The following is a 24,504-nucleotide window of genomic DNA, read 5'->3' as shown; positions in this document are numbered from 1 at the left end:
ATCACTATGGGAAACTAGTCCCATTCATGAGTTTCCACCTTCAGAACCTCTTCACCTCCCAAAAGCCCCACCGCCAAATACCATCATTTTGGGGGTTGGGGTTTCAACATATGAATTTTGGGGAGTCAGAAGCAGTCTATAACAGTGCTTATGCAAATGCAAACAAAAGATGCCCAATATAGCCAGAGAGTATGCTGTGTATATTAGGTGAATGTCCACCGATAAACATTTACTGCCTAGAGGCGCACATGGTTTGATGTCACTTTATAAACAACCATGTTATTTTTAAATAAACAAAGAAGATATTAATTATCTTTCTTTTAGTTAGACTAGTCAATGCAAAATTTGTCTGACATAAGATTCCTGAATTCATATTCCTAAAGATGGTTCCTGTGCACTTAGGAAGCTAAACCGTGAACTTTTGGTGCCATCTTGAGCTCTCTGGGAACGACATTGGCCTCCTGTCTTTTGAGGTAATGCTACCAGACTTCCTCCTTCCAGTAATATCAGCAATAGAATGAATAGCCATCTAGCTTAGAATTAGAAAATCATGTGTTACAGCATCTAAAAGTTGTAACTAGCTAAACAAACGCTCCACAAGGGTGCTGATTAAAGCTTTGTACCGAACCAGAGAGGTTACTGAGCCTGTGCTATACAGCTCTGCACTATTCCATAATTTACATCAATGATTTGTATGAATCGACTATCAGAATATTTATCCAACATGGGGAATGGCATGTGCGTCAGAAGAGAACAGAGATTCAGAAAAGACCTTGAGAAGTGGAACAAAAGATGGAAGTCACAAAATTAAATGCAATGGGGAAAACACATAATCTTCTTATTTAAGAAACGTAATCAATGACACAAAGATGCCAATATTCAGACGTGACCTACTTGCAGCTCCTACGAAGAAGACTTTAGACAACTACAAAGCAAGTTTTGTCAGTTGGGGAAGGGAATGACTGAGAAGACTGAAGTTAATACTAGTTTGGTGTACGTTAAGAAGAAGATGCTTTTGGGACAAGGAAGATGAGTTCCACTCAGCTGTTTACACGAAGTCAGACCAGAGTCGGAATATTTTTCAGTGCAGATCCCTGCGATTTAAGAGGGATGGAGATTCAGTGGCATATCAAGGGAGAGTGATCAGGATGCTTAAGGGTATAAAAACCATCTGATGGCCAGGCGCAGTGGCTCACGCCTGTAATCCCAACACTTTGGGAGGCCGAGGCGGGCGGATCACGAGATCAGGAGATCGAGACCATCCTGACTAACACGTGAAACCCCGTCTCTACTAAAAATACAAAAAAAGTAGCCGGGCGTGGTGGCGGGCTCCTGTAGCCCCAGCTACTCGGGAGGCTGAGGCAGGAGAATGGCGTGAACCCGGGAGGTGGAGCTTGCAGTGAGCCGAGATCGCGCCACTGCACTGCAGCCTGGGAGACAGAGCGAGACTCCATCTCAAAAAAAAAAAAAAAAAAAAAAATCTGACATCCAGGATTTCTTAGGAATCGGTAACATTTCACCCAGAGCGGAAAATGGCATTCGAGTTGCACTTAAGTGTGCTCGAATGGTGGTCTGTAAAAGAGAGAAAGGATTTAGCCATTGTCTCAGAAGCCACAGCTGGGACAGTGTCCAGAACAGAACCAGGGACTTACAAGTGCTGCCAGACCACGAAATGATCAGCCTCTCAAAGTCCCTTCCTCCCATGAGGGAATTGGGTGGAGGGTGAAAAGCCGCATCTGTCGGGGATATTGCAGAAGGGATTCGTTTATGGAAAATTAGGAAATTTAAACAAAGTGGCTCCCACCATCTTTCTCAACCAGAAGATTCCGACAGCCCATAGACAAACTCGTCATCTGAGATACATAGAAGTGGGAACAAAAAATAAAAACACACCAATGGAGACAGAAACCCAACAAAACAAGCATTCTTTCCCACTCTGCAACACATATGCATGATGCTCTTCCTCACTCCACCTTTTAGACAGTGAATGACATCTCCTGATGCAATAAACTTGATAGGAAGATGATAATTAACAAATAATTTGGCAACAAAATTTAATTATAGGTCATTTAGATGTTTTGAAACAGCCACAAAAGCGATTTGCATGTCACTAATTAGCCGCATTTATAACCTCTCCTAAAATGTTCCCTCGCTAAGCCTCACAGAAAATCATTATAATCAATGGAAATTACCAAGCAAAAACAGATTTAAGAAACAAGAACAAGACAACACATGTTGGGAGAATATGCAACACAAGCAGGTAGCTGCTGTGAACATCCCAACTAGTATGTTTCAGGGTTAAAAACTCCCAGCCTGGCCAGGGGAATAGACGCTTACCTTAAAGGCATCTCCAGCTTGTGATCCTGTTGTTGGGGAACTGAGCTGTGATGGAGGAGATTGCAACTTCACTTGTTCATCCTCTGTTCATGGTTTCTGCACCAGTGGGAGTTTAATAAGCATATTCCCATGAGAAACCTCTGCTTTGAAGCAGGCCAATCCTACTCAATCACTGCAACCTCACTACAGCTGGGTCCCGTCAGCTGCTGGAGGCTTGGCCAACAGCACTGTGCTTGGGCAGATAATGTGAGGCGGAGACACTCTTTGCCTAGTTGCTGCATTCTTTTGGGAGTTTCAGGTGATCCTGGTAAACCGGATTCTTCAGAAGGGGCAACTTCTCCCCTTCGGTATGATTTGTGTCAAAGATAAATGCAGACACAATCTGATACCCAAGCGGTTTATGCTAGCAGCAGTGTTATGAAACTTACAGCAGGAACAGGCCAGTGACATGGGCCATAGAGAATGAGATGGTCAGATAAGAGACTGAACGGGAGTTTAAGGGATTTTCCCCCCTCTCTTATACCTGTCTTCAGTCTGGGTCAATGACCAGGCATTTCTTTCCTAAAGATAGTTTAAGCTATTCTTATAAGAGTAAGCTTTATTTTAAGGTCTATAAAAGCTGCACCTGTGCTGAGGTGGTTTTAGCTTTTGGAAAGCCCAGGTTTGCTAACTGCAGAGCCAGGTTGCATCATGCTGCTAAGTGACAAGTGGTGTCAGCCTGAGAGACCCTCAAGTGAGCTTTTTGGCAATCGTTGATCTTATAACCACAACATATCTCTTATTATATGCTGTTCCAGCCTAAGTGAGCATTTTCTTGGTGGATCCCTTGAATATTTTCTCCCTTTCAGCTCAGCAACCATGACAAAACAAAAAAAGAGGTTGCTAAGTTGAAATACCACCGACATTGTCGCATTCCACCCGAACCCTTTGATCTTGGAAAACAGCAAAGGTTAAGAAATCCCTTGACAAAGATTCCTTCCTTGACCAAATATAACCCAGTCTCCTGAATCTTGTTCTAAGATTATCTGTGCACTTCTTTGTAAAATCCAGTTTTTGCAAGAAGCCCTCACCCTCACTATCTGATCACACATGATATCAGATCATTCTCTATAGGGTTCCTCAACCTCCACCTGCCCCCAGGCGATGTCTATATTCTTAGCATTACATAGATGTTAAAAGTTAAGCACATAGATTAGTGACGCATACATAAGCATCATTTTACAAGGTCAGCAATCCCGCAGGAAAAGCAAAATTGCAGTCTACATATCAATGTGACTAATGATTCAAAAAAGCCAACTTTTCAGATTTCCTTGAAGGGCATACGATGAAGAATGGAGGATAAAACACAAAAACAGGAAAAGTATTGGCTTCTCTCAGGAATCTGATTGCATCAAGTATAAAGGTTCCTTAGAACATATTAATGCAAAGTTAAAATAAAATTTTCCTTGGCAATTAAAAATGCTGTGCGCTAATACCCTGCTTTCTAATGTGATTCAATTCAACAATGTGGGGAATGTTTACTACACTTCCAGCTTGATGTCAAGCAATGGGGAATACAAGTTCCAGTTCTGCAAAGATTCATCAACTCCCTTCTTAGTTCAAGAGAGAGGCTGAGAAATGCAGAGAGGAATAAGACACAAAACAGTCCCAACCTCCATGATCTGAGAGTGGGGAAAGGCCAGATTGTTACCCAACAGGCACACACTCTAAGGCCTTTTTAGGGGCTCACAAAATGTTTTAATTTGTGTTATAATCAGAAGAAAATGAACATTGGGGATTGAAGATCATATTGGTATTTGCACCAATATAGTTGTAAAATACAAATGTTAATGTTTTATGTTTTTACATAATATATTTTCATATTAAAACATATTTAATATGTTTTGCCTTCATGGCCCATGAAAGTCTTACTGGGCCCTGGGGAAGGGACTCTAGCCTGGTGAAGCAGCGGCTTTGCTCTACAAATACCTGGGGCAGAAATTTGATTTGAAAAATATTTTTCTCTCTTCTCTCTTTCAACCAGATTCCTTAGGAAAACCAAACAAGAGTCAAAACAAACCTCCGAAGCAGTAAGAGGTTGGATGAGATGGGCATACTATTGGGACTAGAACTGGCTCTCATACGCCCGAGCAATTTTAATAAAAAGGCAAAAAGTTGCCATAGAGAGGCTGCTGGCAAGTGCATGGCCATAGGGGGCCGACATGCTCAGGAGGGAAGGTGTTGATCATGTGGAGGCCTCTAAAAGCTAAAGCCTTGTTACCTTCTCTTTAGTGCCTAGAAAATGTGGTATGTGATGCAAATGCTCAAAACCTCTTATATCATAGCTGTCTGACCTCTGGGGACCTTCAACCTTCTTCTAGGCCCATCTGTGCACTTGCTTGTAAAATCCAGTTTTAGCAAGAAGCCTGTTAAGTCAATTTAGCAAGAACACCCTACTGGACCCCCCCTCCATCTGTTCAACCTCAGTATCTGATCAGGGATCAGGCTCCTCAGCCTCCACCACCCCCAGGGGATGTGTGGTCACCTGGTTGGCCTTATGCTAGAATCCTGCTAGGTCGGTTAGGAGGAATCTCGCTGGCCCTTGGTGTTTCCTCTTAGTAGTTTTCCATCCACTGATGGGCACCCTATTCCGTGGCTATGAATCCCCACTTTCCCATGCTGTATTCAGATCTGAGCCCAATCTTTCTCCCCCACTGCAAGTCCCCATTGCTGTGGTCCCTGCACCTGTTGCGATGGTCCTGAATAAAGTCTTCCTTACTGTGCTTTATCAAGTGCTACTGAATACTCCTTAACATCCTCCCACACCTTGTGTTCTGGAAAATGGCTTATTGCAAAGAACCCCCTTCCCCATATGACTGAGAAAAGACTCACAGATGTCCCTTGTCTAATAGGACAGAGACAGACCCTCTAAATCCTAATTCTTTGTCTTATAAACAGTTATAAGTTAGCTGAGCCACTTGTCCTCCCTAGTCAAATGTTGGATCAGTTTCCCTCTTTCCCCCAGAACCCTGAACATGGGCCCATCCTCAGTCTGAGTGAGCAGGCACTTCCTCCTGGGAACAGTCTGGCCTCAGAGCAAATGTTTTCTCATCTACTGTCTAATCAGGCCACCCTTAAATTCAAGGTCAGTGCCTGTTATGTTTTCTAGCCTTGTTTACTCTTCTCCATAAAAGAAAAACCATTTTTGCCCCTAGCCTTTGAGAGGCTTGCAGACCTAGAGTGTTTTCCCTCTTGCATTAAGCTTTTTGAATAAAAGTCCCTCCTTACTAAGTCTGCATTTGTTGTTTTTTTATTTGATACCAACCGGGGAGACTTTTGGACCAATGGAGTTGCAGCCCTGTTGAAGTTTGATTTTTATATAAAATAAAATTTCCTGGGAGACCCCCTAAAGACTAGAGAATCACAGCCCTTGATGTAGCATCCTGCTATTCTGCATCTATTGGAAGCCACATGTCACTTATTCACCATCATGTTGATAAAAAGGGGGTGCAGGTGCATGTCTGCTCCATCTCTTAAGATGTCAGTTGTATCACTGTTAGGTTGCAAGGCAGATAACCCCACTGATGACTCAGTGACTATGGCAAATGTCTCTGACCAGCTTGGAGGAGCAACACATTCCAATATGTTTGCTATGCACATGAGCTCCTAATTAGCCCTCTGGTTCCTCTGCTGTGGACAGCCCTGTGGTCTGTGAATAGGCTGTCATTTCCCTGGGGGTGCCAAGCAGGACCTAGCATTGGTCACATGGTCCCAGCAGAAAAGAAGAGACACATGGAATATAGGACAATGAGAGGAGAATTTACTGAAAAGACAGCTAACAGCAGTGTGGACAGGAAGAGGAGGAAGACGGCTCATCCCTGAGGCTGGTACCACTCAGGCCCAAAGGCGAAGGAGTGATCCCAGAGCTTGTGATGACCTTTGAGGAGTGCAGGGTGCAATCCTGGGCAACCCTGCAGGAGGGAACAGAGGAGATGAAAACCCCAACCTTGTTCTCCTTTCCCTTTCATTTGTTGACTTTCCTTGGCCAGAAACAACCAGGACAACAGAAAAGGCAAGACAGCCTATGGATGCCGTTCATCCTGGGCTTCTTCCAGGGTAGAGAACAGGTGGGGATAGGTAGAGGGGTTCCAGGGATAACAGGAAAGATTCCAATCCAGGCCAGTCTCCACTGGAGGTATCATTCATCAGGAGCCCTAAATCCACAACTGCATCACTCCTTTCTCACCCCATATTAGATGGTAATGTTTTTCTCCCCATTGCACAAGAAGTGAGGCTTAGAGGGTCCCCACATTTATCCAGGATTTGAAGAAGTTGAATACCAGAGGGGGAGCATTGAATGGAACCCTGGTTTGTCTGCCTCCAAAACACCTTGTTCTCACTCCTGGGTATCTACCCAGAGCTAAAGAAGTCATTATACAAAAAAGATACTTGCACACTCATGTTTACAGCAACACAATTAGCAATTGCAAAAATGTGGAACCAGCCCAAATGCCCATCAATCAACGAGTGGATAAAGAAACTGTGGTGTGTATATATATATATATATATGTGTGTGTGTGTGTGTGTGTGTATATATGTGTATATATATACACATATATACGTATACATATATACGTGTATATATACATATATACGTATATATATGTATATATATACATATATAATATATATATATACGTATATATGTATATATACGTATATATATGTATATATACATATATAATATATATATACGTATATATGTATATATATATACACACACACACATATATATATATGATGGAATACTACACAGCCATAAAAAGGAATGAATTAATGGCATTCACAGCAACCTGGATGGGATTGGAGACTATTATTCTAAGTGAAGTAACTCAGAAATGGAAAATCAAACATTGTATGTTCTCACTCATAAGTGGGAGCTAAGCTATGAGGATGCAAAGGCATAAGAATGATGCAATGGACTTTGGGGACTCAGGGGGAAAGGGTGAGAAGGGGGTGAGTGATAAGACTACAAATAGGGTTCAGTGTATACTGCTCGGGTGTGATGGGTGCACCAAAATCTCACAAATCACCACCAGAGAACTGACTCATGTAACCAAACACCACCTGTTTCCCAAAAACCTATTGAAATAAAAGCATAAATAAAAATACCTTGTTCTCATTATGTGTAATGTGTAAATTCCTTTCATTCCACAAGGGAAGAGAAGACATTTTAAAAAACAGGAGTAGTGTACTGACTCAGATTTCCATTAGAGTATTAAGACAGCTAGTCATTCTTTCTAGATAGCCAGTTTCAACTGTGATTAATCAGAGACAATAAGGCCACTGTGACCATGTGAAGGCTTTGGAGGAATGGTTTTATGGAAAAGTTAGGAAAAGGAAGACATAGAGAAAGCTGCCAGAGTTACTAATTTTGCATTGGGGGCCCCCCTCCGCAATCAGTCAAAAAATAATGTGACTCAGCAGAAAAAGGGAACATGTTCAAGGGGGAAAAACATGTAAATAGTGTTTATTGTCTTCCTACCATGTATCAGGCATGCTTTGCATTTTATATAAATGATGATGACAATTAATACAATCTTTTATATTTTTATGTTTTCAGACAGGGTCTTGCTCTGTGGCCCAGGCTGGGGTACAGTGGTGAGATCATAGCTCACTGCAGCCTCAACCTCCCATCCCAGACTCAAGCAATCCTCCCGCCTCAGCCTCCTGAGTAGCTGGGACTACACGCAGGTACCACCATGCCTGGCTAACTTTTTAATATTTTTTTTCTAGAGACAGGGTCTTAGTATGTTGCCCAGACTGGTCTCAAACTAGCCTCAAGTGATCCTCCTTCCCTGACCTCCCAAAGTACCATGATTACAGGTGTGAGCCACCACCGCCAGCCTAGATTAACAGTCTTTAAAGTAGATATGCTGGGATAGGTGAGAGGAAGTGAAAAGCCAACTGGGACACACAAAAACAGTCAGGAGCAGCCTGGGAGGGTGACTGTAAATTGTTCCTTTCCTGAGCTTGGAGATGGATACAGTTTTTACACACGAAGGAAACCAAAATATCCCTTTTTAAAATAATGAGGATTATTGATTGAAAAGAAGAATCCTAAAACGCAGTGGACACACTGCCCCTCCATCTGCCTTCCTCATAGCAAGACAGCAATTTACAAAGACAAGGTCTTCTGTCCACCTGTCTGCCTTTGCCACCTTCCTGCCCTCCTGCCTGCCTTTCCCACCGAAAGATGGTCCCCTTTACAACTCTCGCCTATTAGCTCAGAGACAGCACTACAGCAGCTAGAGGCAGATTTTACTCTTTCCAGAAATTTACCTTTTGGTAGCCTGCAGATGTTCTCCTCTGTGTCTTGTCAGTACATAGGATTTATGGCTCTTTGTTAAAATCCTATTTGAGCAAGGCCCCTAAGCCACTGCCTTGAGAGAGAAGTATTTTTGAACTGAGGCCTCTCCTGTGTGATGGGTAGAATATATGTCATCCTCCTAGGCTGCTCCTGGCTGTTTTTGTGTGTCCCAGTTGGCTTTTCACTTCCTCTCACCTATCCCAGCATATCTACTTTAAAGACTGTTAATCTAGGCTGGCGGTGGTGGCTCACACCTGTAATCATGGTACTTTGGGAGGTCAGGGAAGGAGGATCGCTTGAGGCTAGTTTGAGACCAGTCTGGGCTCAACAGTTTTTCTTTTGTGAATCTGACTTTTATTTTCAGGAGAGTGTCTCAACTAAGAATCTATGAGGGAAAGAACAGACATTAGACTTTCTCCCTTACACATACAAAAGAAACATTAAGGAAGTGGGATGTCCATTAGAAGGCACTTCAGATTGTCTCATTTTCAACAGGAACTGCATTTGTAGACACACAGCAAGCATAAAATTTAATTTCATTATTACAATTTAATCAAGCAAATTCACTAAAGTACAGTACTTGTCAGCCAGAAAATTGTTTGTTTAGTATAATTCATCAATTACCTTGAAAGGAAAAAATTATGGGACATATATGTATAAATAACTACGTATTCTGGTTATACCAGAAGGATTATCTGCAGGATCTGTAGATGAGCTATCTATTTAAAAGGAGTAACTCCTGGGGCAAGAAGGCACAAAGTCAAAGGTACGCATTGTATAAAATCCCCTTTATAAACAGCAAACTTTTAGCGTCCCTAGTATCTTGAGACAGAATTCTTTTTTCTTTTTTCTCTTTTTTCTTTTTTGAGATGGAGTCTCACTGTGTCTCCCAGGCTGGAGTGCAGTGGCAAAATCTCAGCTAACTGCAACCTCTGCCTCCCGGATTCAAGCAATTCTTGTGCCTCAGTCTCCAGAGTAGCTGGGGATTACAGGTGCGTGCCACGATGCCCGGCTAATTTTTGTATTTTTTAGTAGAGATGGGGTTTCACCATGTTACCCATGGCTGGTCTCAAACTTCTGAGCTCAAGCCATCCTCCCACCTCAGCCTCCCAAAGTGCTGGGATTACAGGCATCAGCCACTGTGCTTGGCCCAGAATTCTTTCATAAGTAATCATTAATAACCACATCCCCTTCTCAATTCACATCTTCCATTAGCCATATTATCACTTGCATACACCTGGATATCAGCGCATATTATATTTCTTCTCTTATGCATTGCTGAATGATTCTGACTGGCCCAAATGGACAGGCTGCAAAGGGAAGGAATACATTGACACGTATCTGCTCCCGCGATCTGCAGCAGGAAGTCCCGAAAGGAAGGGGAGGAGGAAGGAAATGCAGATGTTTAGATTCAGTCCCAGTTTGGCTTTTATATGTAGCTCTGATCTCTATGAAGAGATGTCCTATTCCCATTTTGGGCAGGGCAGGGATGACTCTGGCCCTGAGATTAAAAAATAAAGAAAGATAGGCAGTGCCTCTGGGGCATAAGAACAGGTCAGCCTTCTCCTCAAAGCCCACCAGTAGAGACTTTGATGCCTGTTGGAAATCTTAGCAAAATGATAGGTGTCCCAGGAAACTGGAGCATCTCACAGATATACTCACATTGTGGAACATGAGAAATACTGGTTGGAAAAACAAAGAGAGTGGTTTCCCTGCAGAGCAACTTTCTACAAGGGGCAAGGCCAAGCCAACCCAGAAAAATTCGTGGGAGTAGTAGGCAGAATTCTAAGATGGCCAGAAGTCGGACAGAGATGCTGGACACCAACTGGTGCCCACAAAGAAGCTGACGGTGATGATGTGAACTTCCTGTGGGGTCCACAGACCTAGAAATTACTAGTGGCCCAGGACTTCCAGCAGTAAGAAAATGGGGACCTCAGTCCCAGAACCTCAAGGAACTGAGTTCTACCAACATGCACTGAATTTGGAATAGCACCGGGAGGCTCAGGGGAGAACACAACGTAGCTGGCACCCTGATTTCATCCTGGCGATCCCCTGAGCAGGGTAAAGTCTGTCCTTGCTTGGACTCCTGAGCCCAAAGAGAAGATACACAGGTGTTGTTGCCAGCCACTGTGTGCTATGGAGCAATAGAAAATGAATACAGTGGAGTGAATATTAAAGTAAGTGTTTTTCATTGGGGAGATGTTGGTCTAAGGATACAAAGTTTCACTTAGGAGCAAGAGTTCCAGAGATCTTTCCTACAACATGGTGACTACAACATTCATGTGTAGTGAATAACAACACATTGGATATTTGAAAATTACAAAACAGTAGATTATAAGTGTTCTCCCCACAAAGTATGTCAGGTAATGCACATGCTAAGTAGCTTCATTTAGCCATTCCATAATGTACATACATACATATATATATAAAAAACAAAATGTCATGTTGTATACCCTAAATATACATAATTTTAATTTTTCACTTAAAAAAATTAATTTTGCTAAAAAGTAAATGCTTTTCTATCCAAAGCTAGAGATCTCAGGCTGGGATATTTGGTTTAGAAATTTATTTGCATATTTTACCTAAAAAGTTATTATTAAAATATTATAAAGTATTAAAAGGAATATTATTTATAGATTTAATATATATTTCAACATATAACACCTAGTATATATTAAATATACATTTATATATACATTGATTTATTTATAATTATACATTTAATATAAAAATATTTATTCATTTATGTATAAATATAAATACATCAATTTATATATTTAATATGTATTAAGTGTTTATTATTTATTATACATACATCTATTTTTTATAAATATATATTTAATATTTAAAAATTTATTTAAAATAAAACATTTATATTGTATAATTGTATAAATATATAAATATTTTATATTTCTATGAATACGTGTGTGTGTATAGATATATATAAGTAAATGCATATTCTCTGATCATCAGAAAAATGCAAATCAAAACCACAATGAGATACCATCTCACACCAGTCGGAATGGCGATTGTTAAAAAGTCAGGAAACAACAGATGCTGGTGAGGCTGTGGGGAAATAGGAACACTTTTACACTGTTGGTGGGAACGTAAATTAGTTCAACCATTGTGGAAAACAGTGTGGTGATTCCTCAAGGATCTAGAACCAGAAATGCGATTTGACCCAGTAATCCCATTACTGGGTATATACCCAAAGGAATATAAATCACTCTACTATAAAGACACATGCACATGTATGTTTACTGCAACACTATTTACAATAACAAAGACATGGAACCAACCCAAATGCCCATCAATGATAGACTGGATAAAGAAAAGTGGTACATATACATCATGGAATACTACACAGCCATAAAAAGGAATAAGATCATGTCCTTTGCAGGGACACAGGTGAAGCTGGAAGCCGTCATCCTCAGCAAACTAACACAGGAACAGAAAACCAAACACCGCATGTTCTCACTCATAAGTGGGAGTTGAACATTGAGAACACATGGACACAGAGAGGGGAACAACACACACCAGGGCCTATTTGGGGGTGGGGGTGACGGGAAGAAACTTAGAGGATGGGTCAATAGGTGCAGCAAACCACCATGGCACATGTATCCTATGTAACTAACCTGCACGTTCTGCACATGTATCCCAGTTTTTTTTAGAAGGAATACAAAAGAAAAAAATTTAAAAATAAAAATAAAAATAAAAATAAAAATAAAATATATAAAATAAATAATATGAAAATAAATATTTTTTTAAATCTGTGGTATTCATCTATTCGAATTCATTTTTAAATTATATTAAAAATAATTTTTTTCATTTTTAATCATATATTTTAACTAAATATATTAATATTTAAATAAATATTTATTTAAAATAAAACATTTATACTATATAATAGTAAGTATAAAAATATATATTTCTATAAATACATATATATGCATTTATATATAAAATTATATATAAAATACATAATATGAAAATAAATATTTTTTAAAATCTGTGGTATTAATCTTTGTATTGCAATTCAGTTTTTAATTCCATCTACAAATATTGATTGAACTACAACTTAATGTTACCTGCTATGGAAGATCTGGCACCACCCCTACATGTAAAAAAGGCCCAGAATCTATTGGCTGGATGGTCCAGTCCCAAAACAGAAAGAAGAAAGGGACGTGTTGTGGGCTAAGTAATGGTCAGGCCCGAGGCGCCCACAGCCTGATCCCTGGCACCTCACACTTTACCTTACATGGCAAAGGGCACTTGGCAAGTGCCATGAAGGATCTTGAGATGGGAAGAACTTCCTGGATTAGCCAGGTGGGCCCACTGTCATCACAAAGGCCCCTCTAAGAAGGAGGTGGGGAGAGACTGGAAGACACTATGCTGCCAGCCTTGAAGATGGAGGAAGGGCCCAGCAGCCCGGAAGGTAGGTGCCCTCTAGAAGCCAGAGAAGGCAAGAAGAGGAATTCAACCCCTAGAGCCTCCAGAAAAGAAAGCAGCCCTGCCCACACCATGATTTTAGGACAGTGAAACCCACTTTGTGCTTAAGACTTCCCGAACTGTAAGGTTATATTGTTTTACATAGTTTTAACCCACTCAGTTCACTATAACGTGTTATAGCAGTGTTTGGAAATTACAGAAAGGAAAGGAAAAATATAAGGAAGGAGGAAGGAAGGTAGGAAAGAAAGAAGAAAGGGAGAGAGGAAGAAGGGAGGTGGAGACAGAAATTATTTGAATCTACTGAGGAGTTTCCAAGTCTAGAAATACAAGAAAAAAGATCTGCTGAAAAACAGCAGTTTTTGTTATCACTGGAGAAGACAGGGTAAAGGGTAGGAGAGACTCCTCTGTACCATTTTTTCATAACTACTTGTGAGTCTATAATTATATCAACACAAAATATTTAAAGAAAATTATAAAGTGGAATGAATAGTAACCTGCCATTTCTATATATTACACATAGAAAATTCTGGAATTATATCTGTAAACTGTTTCCATGGTGAGTATAGACTATCATATGCTTCTTTTCTATGCTTTTCTGATTTTTGGATTTTTTTACAATAAGCATATCTCTTTTCTTTAAAAACAAAGACACTTTTAAAAAATAAAGTATAAAGGGTTGAAGAATAAGAAACACTCATTATCTCTTGGAGAGAAATAGCTTAATGCCCAAGTTTTGTTAACTCATATTTTTACTGTATTTCAAATACCACGGCAAATGCTATTGCTTTGTATCACCGTATGTGAAGCAAATGTTGGATTTTACCGTAATAGATAAATGAGCATTTCAGTCTCTTTGTTGTTGATTCCAATAACATCCAACTGAATGGCTGTTTTTTCTGCTGTCCTGCAAACCAGGAGGCTGGGAAACCATTCTTTTGCCCCCTACAATCATCTCATCTCCTAAAGCAGAGTACAACAGGGAAAATTGTTTCACACATCAATTTGTGGACAAGTCATGATATTAAAAAGGTATGTGTACCCCTGAGCCTGCTATCGAATAGCCGATTCTTTCTGTCAAGTTATAGTATAATTCTTCAGTTACTTGTGAAGTTCCTGACCAGTTTATAATTATGAATGATTTTACAAAAACATAACAAAATATATATGCAATTTCATTTGTGCATAATGATCCTTCTTCCATTAAAGCTCAAAATTGGTTTATGACATTAAAATACTTTGAACTCTGAATTTCCCTATCATTACATTGTACTATATGGTGAAACCTTCCTACTGGGACTTGGTTATTTCATCATTACCTAAAAGACCCTTTTATGACATCATTTAGAAAAAAATTAATATGTATAAATCCAATCAATATGGAAAACTCTAAACTTCCTCCCTGCCTAAAAGTGTTCATAACAAAGAATTTCTTGACTGAATTGTTAAAGCTTAACCACCATTCTCCAATCCTGTACTTCCAGGTACAATCTAAATCCCTGTAACTTGCACATATCCTGGAAATGCTTGAAGACAATGCCAACAAATTCATGTCGGCAATGCAAAAGAGATTTGAGGACAGGGTGCTAGTTGTTACTTCTTGAATAAAAATGCAACTCCTGGGCAATGCAGAAAAATCAATCAGCAACTCTTTAAAATGTGTTTCCTTTGCATGAGAGAATAAGTGTAATTTTTTTTTTTAAAGACAGGGTGCCACTCAGTTGCCCAGGCTGAAGTGCAGTGGTACAATCTCAGCTCACTGGAACCCCCTCCTCCCAGGCTTGAGGGATCCTCCCACCTCAGCCTCCTGAGTAATTGAGATGACAAGTGACTTTTTTATTTTTAGTAGAGATGGAGTTTCACCATGTTCCCTAGGCTGGTCTCCAACTCATGGGCTCAAGCAATCCACCCTCCTTGGCCTCCCAAAGTGCTGGAATTGTAGGCATGAGCCATTGCCCCCCAAGCCCAAGGTGTAATTTTTAATGAAAACTTTAAGCTATTAAAATGGAGTACAGAAAAAGAATATCAATTGTGTCTGCCAAACCAAAACTAAGTAACTGTTTTTTCCCTCTGATGACCATTGGATCGAGATGATGTATCTAATAATAATCAAATTCACAACAAAAATCCTTCAGCATAGCTTTCAGGTTAGTACTTCCTTAAATTAAGATTTAAATTTTATGCATACAGATACCTGCATGCCTCTTATTTAAGGCCCTTGGATCACACAGCTCTATGTTGGTTTGGAATGAAAAAGAAGGGTTTTCATTATTGATAAGTGAGATAACATCTCTTTATCAAATAGGATGAATCATTTGAAATAGCCATTTTTGCAGATAAAGTATGGTTAACTATCAGCAATGTCATATGGCTGGTCATATATGGACAGCGATCAAAGAACCAAAAAAAGAAAAGAAAAGATTGATCAATAAGTAAATAAATAATAAAAGGATGGTATGAGAAAAGTACATTTAGAGAACAAAATAGAACTTTTGGGCATGCGGAACATGATAAATGAAGTAATTCAGCAGAATGCTGCGAAGATCAAGGTGAGGACATCTCAAAGAGAACTGGAACAAAAAGCCAAGGTGATTGATAACAGGAGAGAAAAGACATGAAAATTAGGATATCATAACCAGGTCCCAATCTTCAGCTAATAGATATTCCAGAGGAAGAGACTGAGAGAGAGCAAGAGATTACCAAAGCAATAAAACAAAATATAGTTTTAGAACTGAAGGGCATGAATCTCAGTATTGAACAGGCCTGGGGGCCCAAAACGATGAAGGAATATAAACCCAGAGCAAAGCCCATTTTCATGGAACCTTAGGATACAGAGGACCAAGACAAAATCCTAAGTGCATAGGGGGTGCAGTGGGTGGATGGGTTACATACAATCAAATCACGGCTTTGGCCTTTACCCTGAGTGGTACAAGACAATTATGCAATGACTGTGAAATCCAGAGGAAAAATGATTTCCACCGAGAGTGGTGGCTCACACCTGTAATCCCAGCATGTTGTGAGGCTGAGGCAGGAAGATTGCTTGAGCCTGGGAGCTCCAGACCAGACTGGGCAATATAGCGAGACCTTGTCTCTACAATTTGTTTTTTAATTAGCCAGGTATGGTGGTGGTGTGTGAGAGGACCACTTGAGCCCAGGAGGAAGAGATTGCTATGATCGCATCACTGCACTCCAGCCAGGAGTGCCTTGCTCTTGCAACAGAGCAAGAAACTGTCTCAAAAAAAAAAAAAAAGAAAAAAGAAAAGAAAAGAAAACGAAAGAAAAGAAAAGAAAAAGAAAAAGAAAAAGAAAACCAAATAATTTCCAACCTACAGTTTTATACCAGCCAACCCCTCCAGACACAGTTGCATTGGCCCCTGAATAAAGTCAGTGAATACACTGAGTGCCCACTATTTGCTCCTCAAGCTGAAGGTCTCTGCTCCCAAGCAAGCTGCTAGTCAGTATGGGGAGAAAGCCTTCATGCCTAATTGATGTGATTTTCTGTGGTTGCACTCTCACATGTAATATCCCCAAAGAACCACAGCATAGAGTTGTCACTTTTAGCTTGGGGGGAACAACAAAACGTGATGAATAATAATTGCAATAATTACATTCCCATTCTTTCTCTTCCTCACTATGAAACCAGGATGTTGGTGTGTAGGCAGGGAAAGCCCCTCTTCTTTCAAAGTAAACTGGAAGGAGAAACACCTGCTAAGAGCTTTCCTGTGCTAGCATGGATGATTGTGCAATTGCCCAAAAGTCTATTTTACTAACAACTCCAAATCTTATATTTCTTCTTCCGTTGTCCATGGAGTCTGGGTACCACACATGCCCAAGCCCACCAGTGTGTGTACAACAACAGGCAACAGAAGCACCTGGCCTAGGGCCATGTGGGGCCACAAAGCAGGTCAGCAAAACAATCATGACTATCCATGGTCTCAGAGTGGAGAAGGATATCATAAGTAACTGATTAGGGAGCAAGAGAGAGAGCGAAGGAGGGAGGAATAAGGGAAAGGAAGGAAAAAAAGGGAGGCAAGCAAAGAGGAAGGAAGGAGGGGAGGAGGGAAGAAGGGATGGAAAGAAAGGAAGGCAGGGAGAGAGGAAGTTAGGAGGAAAGAGGGAGAAAGGAGGGAGAGAGAGGGAAGAAAGGAAGAAAGAAGGGAAGGAAGGAAGGAAAAATGAAGGAATGAAAGAAGGAGAGAGAGAAAAGGTGAGGAGGAAAAAAGGAAGGAGGAAGGCAGGAGAGAGAAAAAAGGAAGAGAGGGAGGGAAGAAGGAAGGGAAGGAAGAAAGAAGATGGAGAGAAAGGAGGAAAGGAAGGAAAGGAAGAAAAGGAAGGGAAGGAAGGGAGGAAAGGAGGGAGGGAGGGAGGGAGGAAGGGAGGAAAGGAGGGAGGGAGGAAGGAAGGGAGGGAGGAAGGAAAGAAGGGGAATCAACAGAGAAAATAATCAACATCTAATATTTTTTAAAATGGCAAAAGACAAATGATGAATGAGAAAACAATTGTAAATTAATACAAATATGGAAAATGTTCAACCTCACCAGGAAATCAAAGAAAATTAAAGTTTAAACACAAGGAAAATGCTATTTTTAACCTACTGATTTGGCAAATATTATGGCATGCCAACACTTGGGTTAGAAAATTAAGAAGTAGGAGACTTGAAGAAAAAATAAATTAAACACTAGAATATTCTCGATTTTTGAAGAATATTTTTTCATATATAAAACCTTATGGTATAATTTTAGGGTGTAAAAGGCAGAACCAAACATGATATAAAGGCAACATCAGCACAAATGTGAAAAACAATCTGTCCAGGTGCAGTGGCTCATGCCTGTAATCCCAGCACTTTGGGAGGCCAAGTGTGGGAGGATCACTTGAGGACGGAAGTTTGAGAGCAGCCTGCGCAAGATGGCAAGACCCCATCTCTACAAAAAAGTTAAAAATTATCTGGGCGTGGTAGAACACGCCTGTAGTCCCACCTACTTGGGAAGCTGAGACAGGAGAATTGCTTGAGCCCAGAAGTTTGAGGCTACAATGAGCTATGACTGTGCCATCGTATTCCACCCTGGGCAGCAGAGCAGGACCCTGTCTCTCTCTCTCTCTATATATATATATATTTGCATATGGATATGTATGTTTCATATGCATATGTTTGTATAGAAAGGCATACACATAACTGGAAAGAATGATGATATAATTTTATTTGGGATTAGTTTGCAGGGAGCAGAACTACCAGTGGTTTTATATGATTCTTTATAAATTCTTGTATATATAAAATGTTCTACTTACTTTTATAAACAGAAAAAAACAGTTTACAAAGTACAATTTAATCATAGTGTATTCCTACTGATGGAGAAAGTGTCATAAATTCACAATGCTCCTCAAATGTGATAGTTTTTACTAGTGGGAATAAAAAGAAAATGAACTTGGGCTTACAATTGGCCTAAAGAGACCCTAATTTAGAGAACTTCAGCTTAATGAGCTCTGATCCCTGTGCAGCTGTCCCTTGTCACATAATCAGAAAAAACTAACAAGGTTCCTTTTTTTAGAGAAATTTGTTTAGTTCCTATTTTTTAAGCACATGGTAAGTGTCTAATAAATACCTGTTGCAGAGAAATGAACTAATACAGATTTCTAATCTTTAGAGTTTTTTGCCCCATGGAAGAATGTTCTAAGTATAGTAATTCTCAGCCTGAGGCCAAAGGCCTAAGAACTTGTGGCGTGGGTAGCATAGATCCCGGAGTCCAAGGGTGGGAGAGCCTGGAGCTCTAATATTCTAGGGCTAGAGATGAAGAGTGTCTCAGCTTGAAGAGAGAGAAAGAGAGGGACAGGGAGAAACAGAGACACAGGCAAGGAGGGAGAGACAGAGACAAAACCAGGGAAAGAAAGAGAGAGATGAAGAGAGGGAGAGAGACACAGAGAGACAGGGACGTGGATAGAGAGCGAGAGACAGAGATGGATAGAGAGAGATAGACACAGAGAGACACACAGAGATAGAGATAGAGAGGGAGAGAGACAGAGAGATAAAGAGAGAGAGGGAACTCTTTTCTCTGCTTTGTGTTCTATCTGGGCCCCCAGCTGATTGGATGTTGCCAGTCCACATTGATGGTGGATCTTCCTCACTTAGTCCACCAACTCCCATGCCAATGCCCTCTGGAAACACCCTCACAGACACACCCAGAAGTAATGAACATGTTACCAGTTCTCTAAGTATCCCTTAATCCAGTCAATTTGACACCTAAAATCAACCATCACAAATCCACCCATCATCAACTTGGCACCCATAAGCATCTCCTTAAACCATACTTAATTTCTAAATGAAGATAAGAAAATTACAACAGTTCCACCTAACGTGATGTAACCATTCTGCACACAGCTGAAAATGCAGTAATCCCCTTCCCCGGAAGAGGAGGTCAAGTCCTTGGGTGATGTTGACTCTTCTCCTGACATCCCATCACTTAAATACCATGAGGTAAAATTAATAATACTTAAATACTGATAGAGAGGTAGTCAATAGAGTGGTTTATATATTATATGCATTTTTGTGGTTTCCATGTTGAGAATGTTCTCAAACAAACATGTTTGTGGTCAAAATTTCTGAGTCAATAACAAAGATACTCCAAGAACGCTCTCAACAGGAAAACACAAACCATCATATCATATACTGATATAAAGTCAATATACCTTATGTTATATAATAAAGGAATAAGAGAGGAATGAAAACAAAGATATTTGCTAAATACATGTATTTATGTTTTATCTTGATACTAAATATATTTATATATACACACAGATGTATTCTTAACAAAATGGGGAGAAAATACTCGTGACAATGACAGTCCTCATTTCTGTAGCTGGCCACACCAGTCTCCTCTGGAAACACACTCACAGACACATCCAAAAGTAATGCTTCAGCAGCTCTCTAGGTATTCCTTAATCCAGTCAAGCTGACACCTAAAATTAACCATTATGAGCATCGTGGATTAGAAAACAGAACAGGTGGCCATGTTGTCAGGGGTCCATCCTAGCAACAAACATAGACAATTCCTTCTTCTGAGGAGGGCTCAGATCTGGACTCTCTAAAGGCTTCTCTGTTCTTGTATCCCTGAAGCCCAAATAGCTGAAAGTCTCTAGATCAGTGTTCAAAGACAAACGCATGAAATCTCTGGCGCAGTTCCCTAAAGCACAGCGGATCTCCCACATCTACACAAACCATGAAGCAATAACAACTTGCGAGTGGATTACTGTTGAGAAGAATGCCTTTGAAGAGTGAAATGGATGTGATGAAAGAACATACCTCCCACAGCACAAGCAGAAAGGAGACAGGATGGAAATGAAATTTCATTCACTAGGTGGAGGGCCTGCTGACCCTTCTCTATAATAATAATGATTCTAATAATGATTCATAAAGCCACAACTCTGGCCAAAAAAAAATTAAAAAGTTAAGTATGTGTGTGAGAAAAGAGAGGCTATAAAAACACAAAATTGGTTTAGGTTTTTATGCTGAGAGAGCAATCTTGAAGGAGTGATATTTGTTGTTGATTCAGAAAATTTAACCACAAACATGTCCCTTTGAGAACATTCTCAACATGAAAACCATAAAAGTACAGAAATGGAAACTGCTATCTATCTATCCATCCATCTATCTGACATCAACCTATATATCAATCTAGATATCTATATATCTATATATCCATCTATTTATCTGTCCATCCATCCACCTATCTATCATCTATCTACATATCTGTCTGCCTATCATCCATCATCTATCTATATATCTGTCTATCATCCATGTAGCCATCTATTTATCCATCCATCTACCTATCCATGCATCCATCATCTATCTATATAGCTGCCTGCCTATCTATCATCCATCGATCTATCATTTATCTACGTATCTGTCTATCATCCATCCATCCATCCATCCATCCATCCATCCACCCATCTAACCAGTTTATGGTTTTATATATAGCTTCATTTAAACTGTGGGTGGCAAAGCAAACTGCATGTGGAAAGACAGCTCTTGTCATATGTGCTGAGGGTCATGTGTGGCTTGCAGGTGAACAGGGGAAAGGGGGCAAAGTGGTTGAAACATGAGAGTTTAAGAAGGGCTAAGCTTTAGAGAAATGTGTCAGATGAGACTACAAAATATGCTTGGACTGCGGTTCTTGGTGTGAATCCACAGAAGCCCCCACTACCAAACTCAGAGCTAAGGAAATATGTTCACTGTGGCACTGGGGCATCCATTTTTGTCCTTGGCATCTCCTTCCCGTCACTGAACACACAAACGAAAAATCATCTCCCCTCCTCCCTTTCCGTTTCATCCATCTTTTTCATGCTTGGTCCAAGAAACATCCAAAGACAGCAAGAGAGCTCATTTTATTGTTTTTAGCATTTGCTTGGTCCCATTTCACTAGTTCTATCTCCCAAAATGAGAACATGAGGTTATCAATTACATGTCAGAGGCAGAGAAAGCTGAAGCATGTTTTTCCATCAGAGACGTCATAATATGATTTGAAATTTGAGAGTCTAGAGTTAATATACGGGATTTCAAAATTTCCGACATGTCTGACAAAAATTTTCTTAAAGGAATTACATCATAGTTATTGAATCTTCCCCCATGCGATGAAAGAAGAAAATAACAAAAATATTCCTTATAACAAATTTGGGGAGTTAGCAGTAAAAAACAAAAAATATTACTTAAATAATATTTTCAAAGGACTAAGAAGAAAACTAGGAATTAAAGACTAAACTGATTCTAGATATTCTCATACAAGAGGACCTAGGATAATATTTGAAATAAAGTACACAACAGTATTATTAAAAAAAAAAAAAAGAAAGCTCACAAAGTTTTCTAATACTTCAAATGTGTGGTTTGTAGGTAGGAAATCAAAATGAGTTTGAGTTATCATTATTAGGTTCAGTGTTATTAAATGTGCTTCACATACTTATCTTTTACATTTGTATGGTAATGTCTCCAAAGCTAAGGGTTTTATTAGGTAATTTATTTTTTTTTTTATTTCTAGCAAAGAAAAATGTCCTTAAATTTATATAAGAGTCAAAGTTTGGATCTCAGAATAACTGGTCTGGGCCTTATTTTAAAAAGCAAAGAACATAAGTAACTAAGCAAGGAAATGACATCTGATTCATTATTGTAAATGTATATTATATTGGCTATGTACTTAATCAACCCCCACTCTGAATACTGGAATCTTGAAATAAATAAAGTTGACAGATGACTAATATCAACTGGCTCTCCATTCATCAGGTGTGAAATATCACACAAACATACAGCAAAGCCCCTCAGGCTCTGGAAAGAAACTGCAAAAACCCTAAGGACTCCCAGAAACTAAAACAGTCATAAAAATTTAGAAGTCTAAGCAAGAACCTAAGTTTTAAGTTAAGAGAAGAGGAAACTGTGAAAACACGATTTATTATAATAAGTGGTAAATTTCTACTATGCTATAACATTCAGAGTTGATTTTAATAAAATAGAGATAGAAAGTAGGATCGATTAACACAAGTATTATACTAACCATTCTTTGTCAACTGATTATTATTGTAAAATTAGAAGGCTGTGACCCTAAATTATAAAATCAATCTAATTTTGGACACTTCATTACTCTTCCAACATTTTATATTGAAACATGATGAGAAGTTGTAGTATAGATGGATCACTTCCTGATTGACTTCAAATATCATAATATTGTATTTGAAAACTGTATTGCAGGCTCGCTCCTAAAATAGAGAATTTCCATAGAACTTTCTATAGAACTCACTCCTAAAATGGAGGATTAAATATGAATTTTATATAGAAAAATTATTCTCATAAGCCAGCTATCTCACATGCAGTATAAACTAAGGAACTGCTATACTTATTAAGTGATTGTCAGTAAGGCAGCTGAAGCACACACAGGAAAATATGGCAGGAAATTCATGGACCTTAGTTTAAAACTCTATAAAGAAAAAAAAAAAAACTTGCTGCCAGGCAGCAGACGTTTTTGCTTTCCTCTGGAATCTTGGGTAGGTTCACTGGATAAAATCTTTTAACAGGTATTAGGCTTCACCCTATTTGAGGATATAAACTCAACAGAACAAGGCTAAAGTTTGTGAAACCCCAGACAGGGTTAAAGATCTGAAACTGCCTTTGCAAAAGCAGTGAGAAAATTACGACAGTGAAAGAGATGTGACCTAACCAACTACATCTTGCCTTTAACCTGCAGACTGCCCTCGTTCATTCCTGAACACAGACTGAGCTAACTACAGGAGGAATTTACAGTGTTAACATGGAAACAAAAATGGTAACAGCCTTTTCCGGAAAAAAATCCCATTTTTGCCTGGGGACACACCACCTCTGTAGGACAACAAATTCGCCACAAGTTTAGAAAGTATGGCTCAGAAGTCCTGCAGTCAGAGGCCACAAGATTCTCAACCTCCCCAGTTGGTCCTAGGGATACCGTCACTATTGGAATGCCTAAGATTGGAGTTGAAGATGTTTTTTAGACCCTGTGATCTGATCTACCAACTGGTGCCATGCAGACCAGGAATCTGCCTCAATCAGTTCTGCAATCTCACCCAGGCACAGAAGACAGCAAGAAGAACCCACTTTGGGCCCCTATTATTTCATCTCCAATCTGACCAATCAGCATTCCTCACTTCCTAACCCCCTACCTCCCTTAAAAAAAACTCAGTCTCCAAATGCACAGAGAGCGTGATTTGGGTAATAAAACTCTGGTCTCCCATTTAACTGGCTCTGTGTGCATTCAATTCTTTCTCTATTTCTGTCTTGATAAACAAGCTCTACCTGGGCAAAGATAATCCATTGGGGGGGTTACAGATCATTTTTTATATTGGTGTCAGTTATTGGCTAAATCATATCAGAAAGTTGTTTTTTGCCTGTGTGACTGAAATCCAAAAATATATAATTTTTATCAGTATTGTATTAATATGGCATTGGAACTATTTTTTTCATCCATGTATTTAGCAGTTATTTACTAAACATCTACTAAGGCACGCTGTGCATCGTAGGGATACAGTAGTGTTAGAGGGGTTTGAACCAGAGCGACTCAATCTTGAGTGAGGGCTAGGAAAATGAGGCTGGAACTTGCTGGGCTGCACTCCCAGAAAGTTAGGTGTTCCTAGCCTCTAGATGTTTACGGTTAAGGGAACAGATTGATAATGTTTAGTAAACAGACCCAGAACTGGGAGTGTCCTAACACCCTGATATCTTGAGAACAGAGGCATTCCTAATTTTGCTTTAAATATAATAATATCGATTCTTGTAAAATATAGCAATTAAGAAAATTAATCCTTTATCACAAACACTTGTAGCAGAGCACATCACCCCATGATCTTTTTTTATCCTATATGTAAAC

At 39.6% G+C, this 24,504-nt stretch overlaps 1 protein-coding gene across 4 annotated transcripts in view, besides 2 other annotated features; it reads right to left on the bottom strand.

Moving 5' to 3' along the window:
- The window catches only part of STS (steroid sulfatase), a 207,352-nt gene that overhangs the window by 132,618 nt on the left and 50,230 nt on the right, over positions 1-24,504 (bottom strand). Inside the window, exon 1 of one of the 4 annotated variants that reach the window (NM_000351.7) lies at positions 2,338-2,568. The exons of the other annotated variants lie outside the window; for them this stretch is intronic. The gene's annotated coding sequence lies outside the window, so the exon portion shown is untranslated. Of the gene's footprint in view, positions 1-2,337; positions 2,569-24,504 lie in introns of those variants that run through there. 4 annotated transcript variants of the gene reach the window in all.
- Positions 2,913-3,102: an enhancer, noted in NCBI's record as "active region_29391". NCBI's record gives its function as "activates an Ori minimal core promoter by ATAC-STARR-seq in GM12878 lymphoblastoid cells {active_cell/tissue: GM12878}" and the evidence as "EXISTENCE:reporter gene assay evidence [ECO:0000049][PMID:35858748]".
- Positions 23,346-23,395: an enhancer, noted in NCBI's record as "active region_29390". NCBI's record gives its function as "activates an Ori minimal core promoter by ATAC-STARR-seq in GM12878 lymphoblastoid cells {active_cell/tissue: GM12878}" and the evidence as "EXISTENCE:reporter gene assay evidence [ECO:0000049][PMID:35858748]".

This window comes from Homo sapiens, chromosome X (genome assembly GCF_000001405.40).
Source record: "Homo sapiens chromosome X, GRCh38.p14 Primary Assembly".
Classification (NCBI taxonomy): Eukaryota; Metazoa; Chordata; class Mammalia; order Primates; family Hominidae; genus Homo; species Homo sapiens.
The sequence above is the reverse complement of the archived record's forward strand: the minus strand, read 5'-3'. Positions and strand labels throughout refer to the sequence as shown.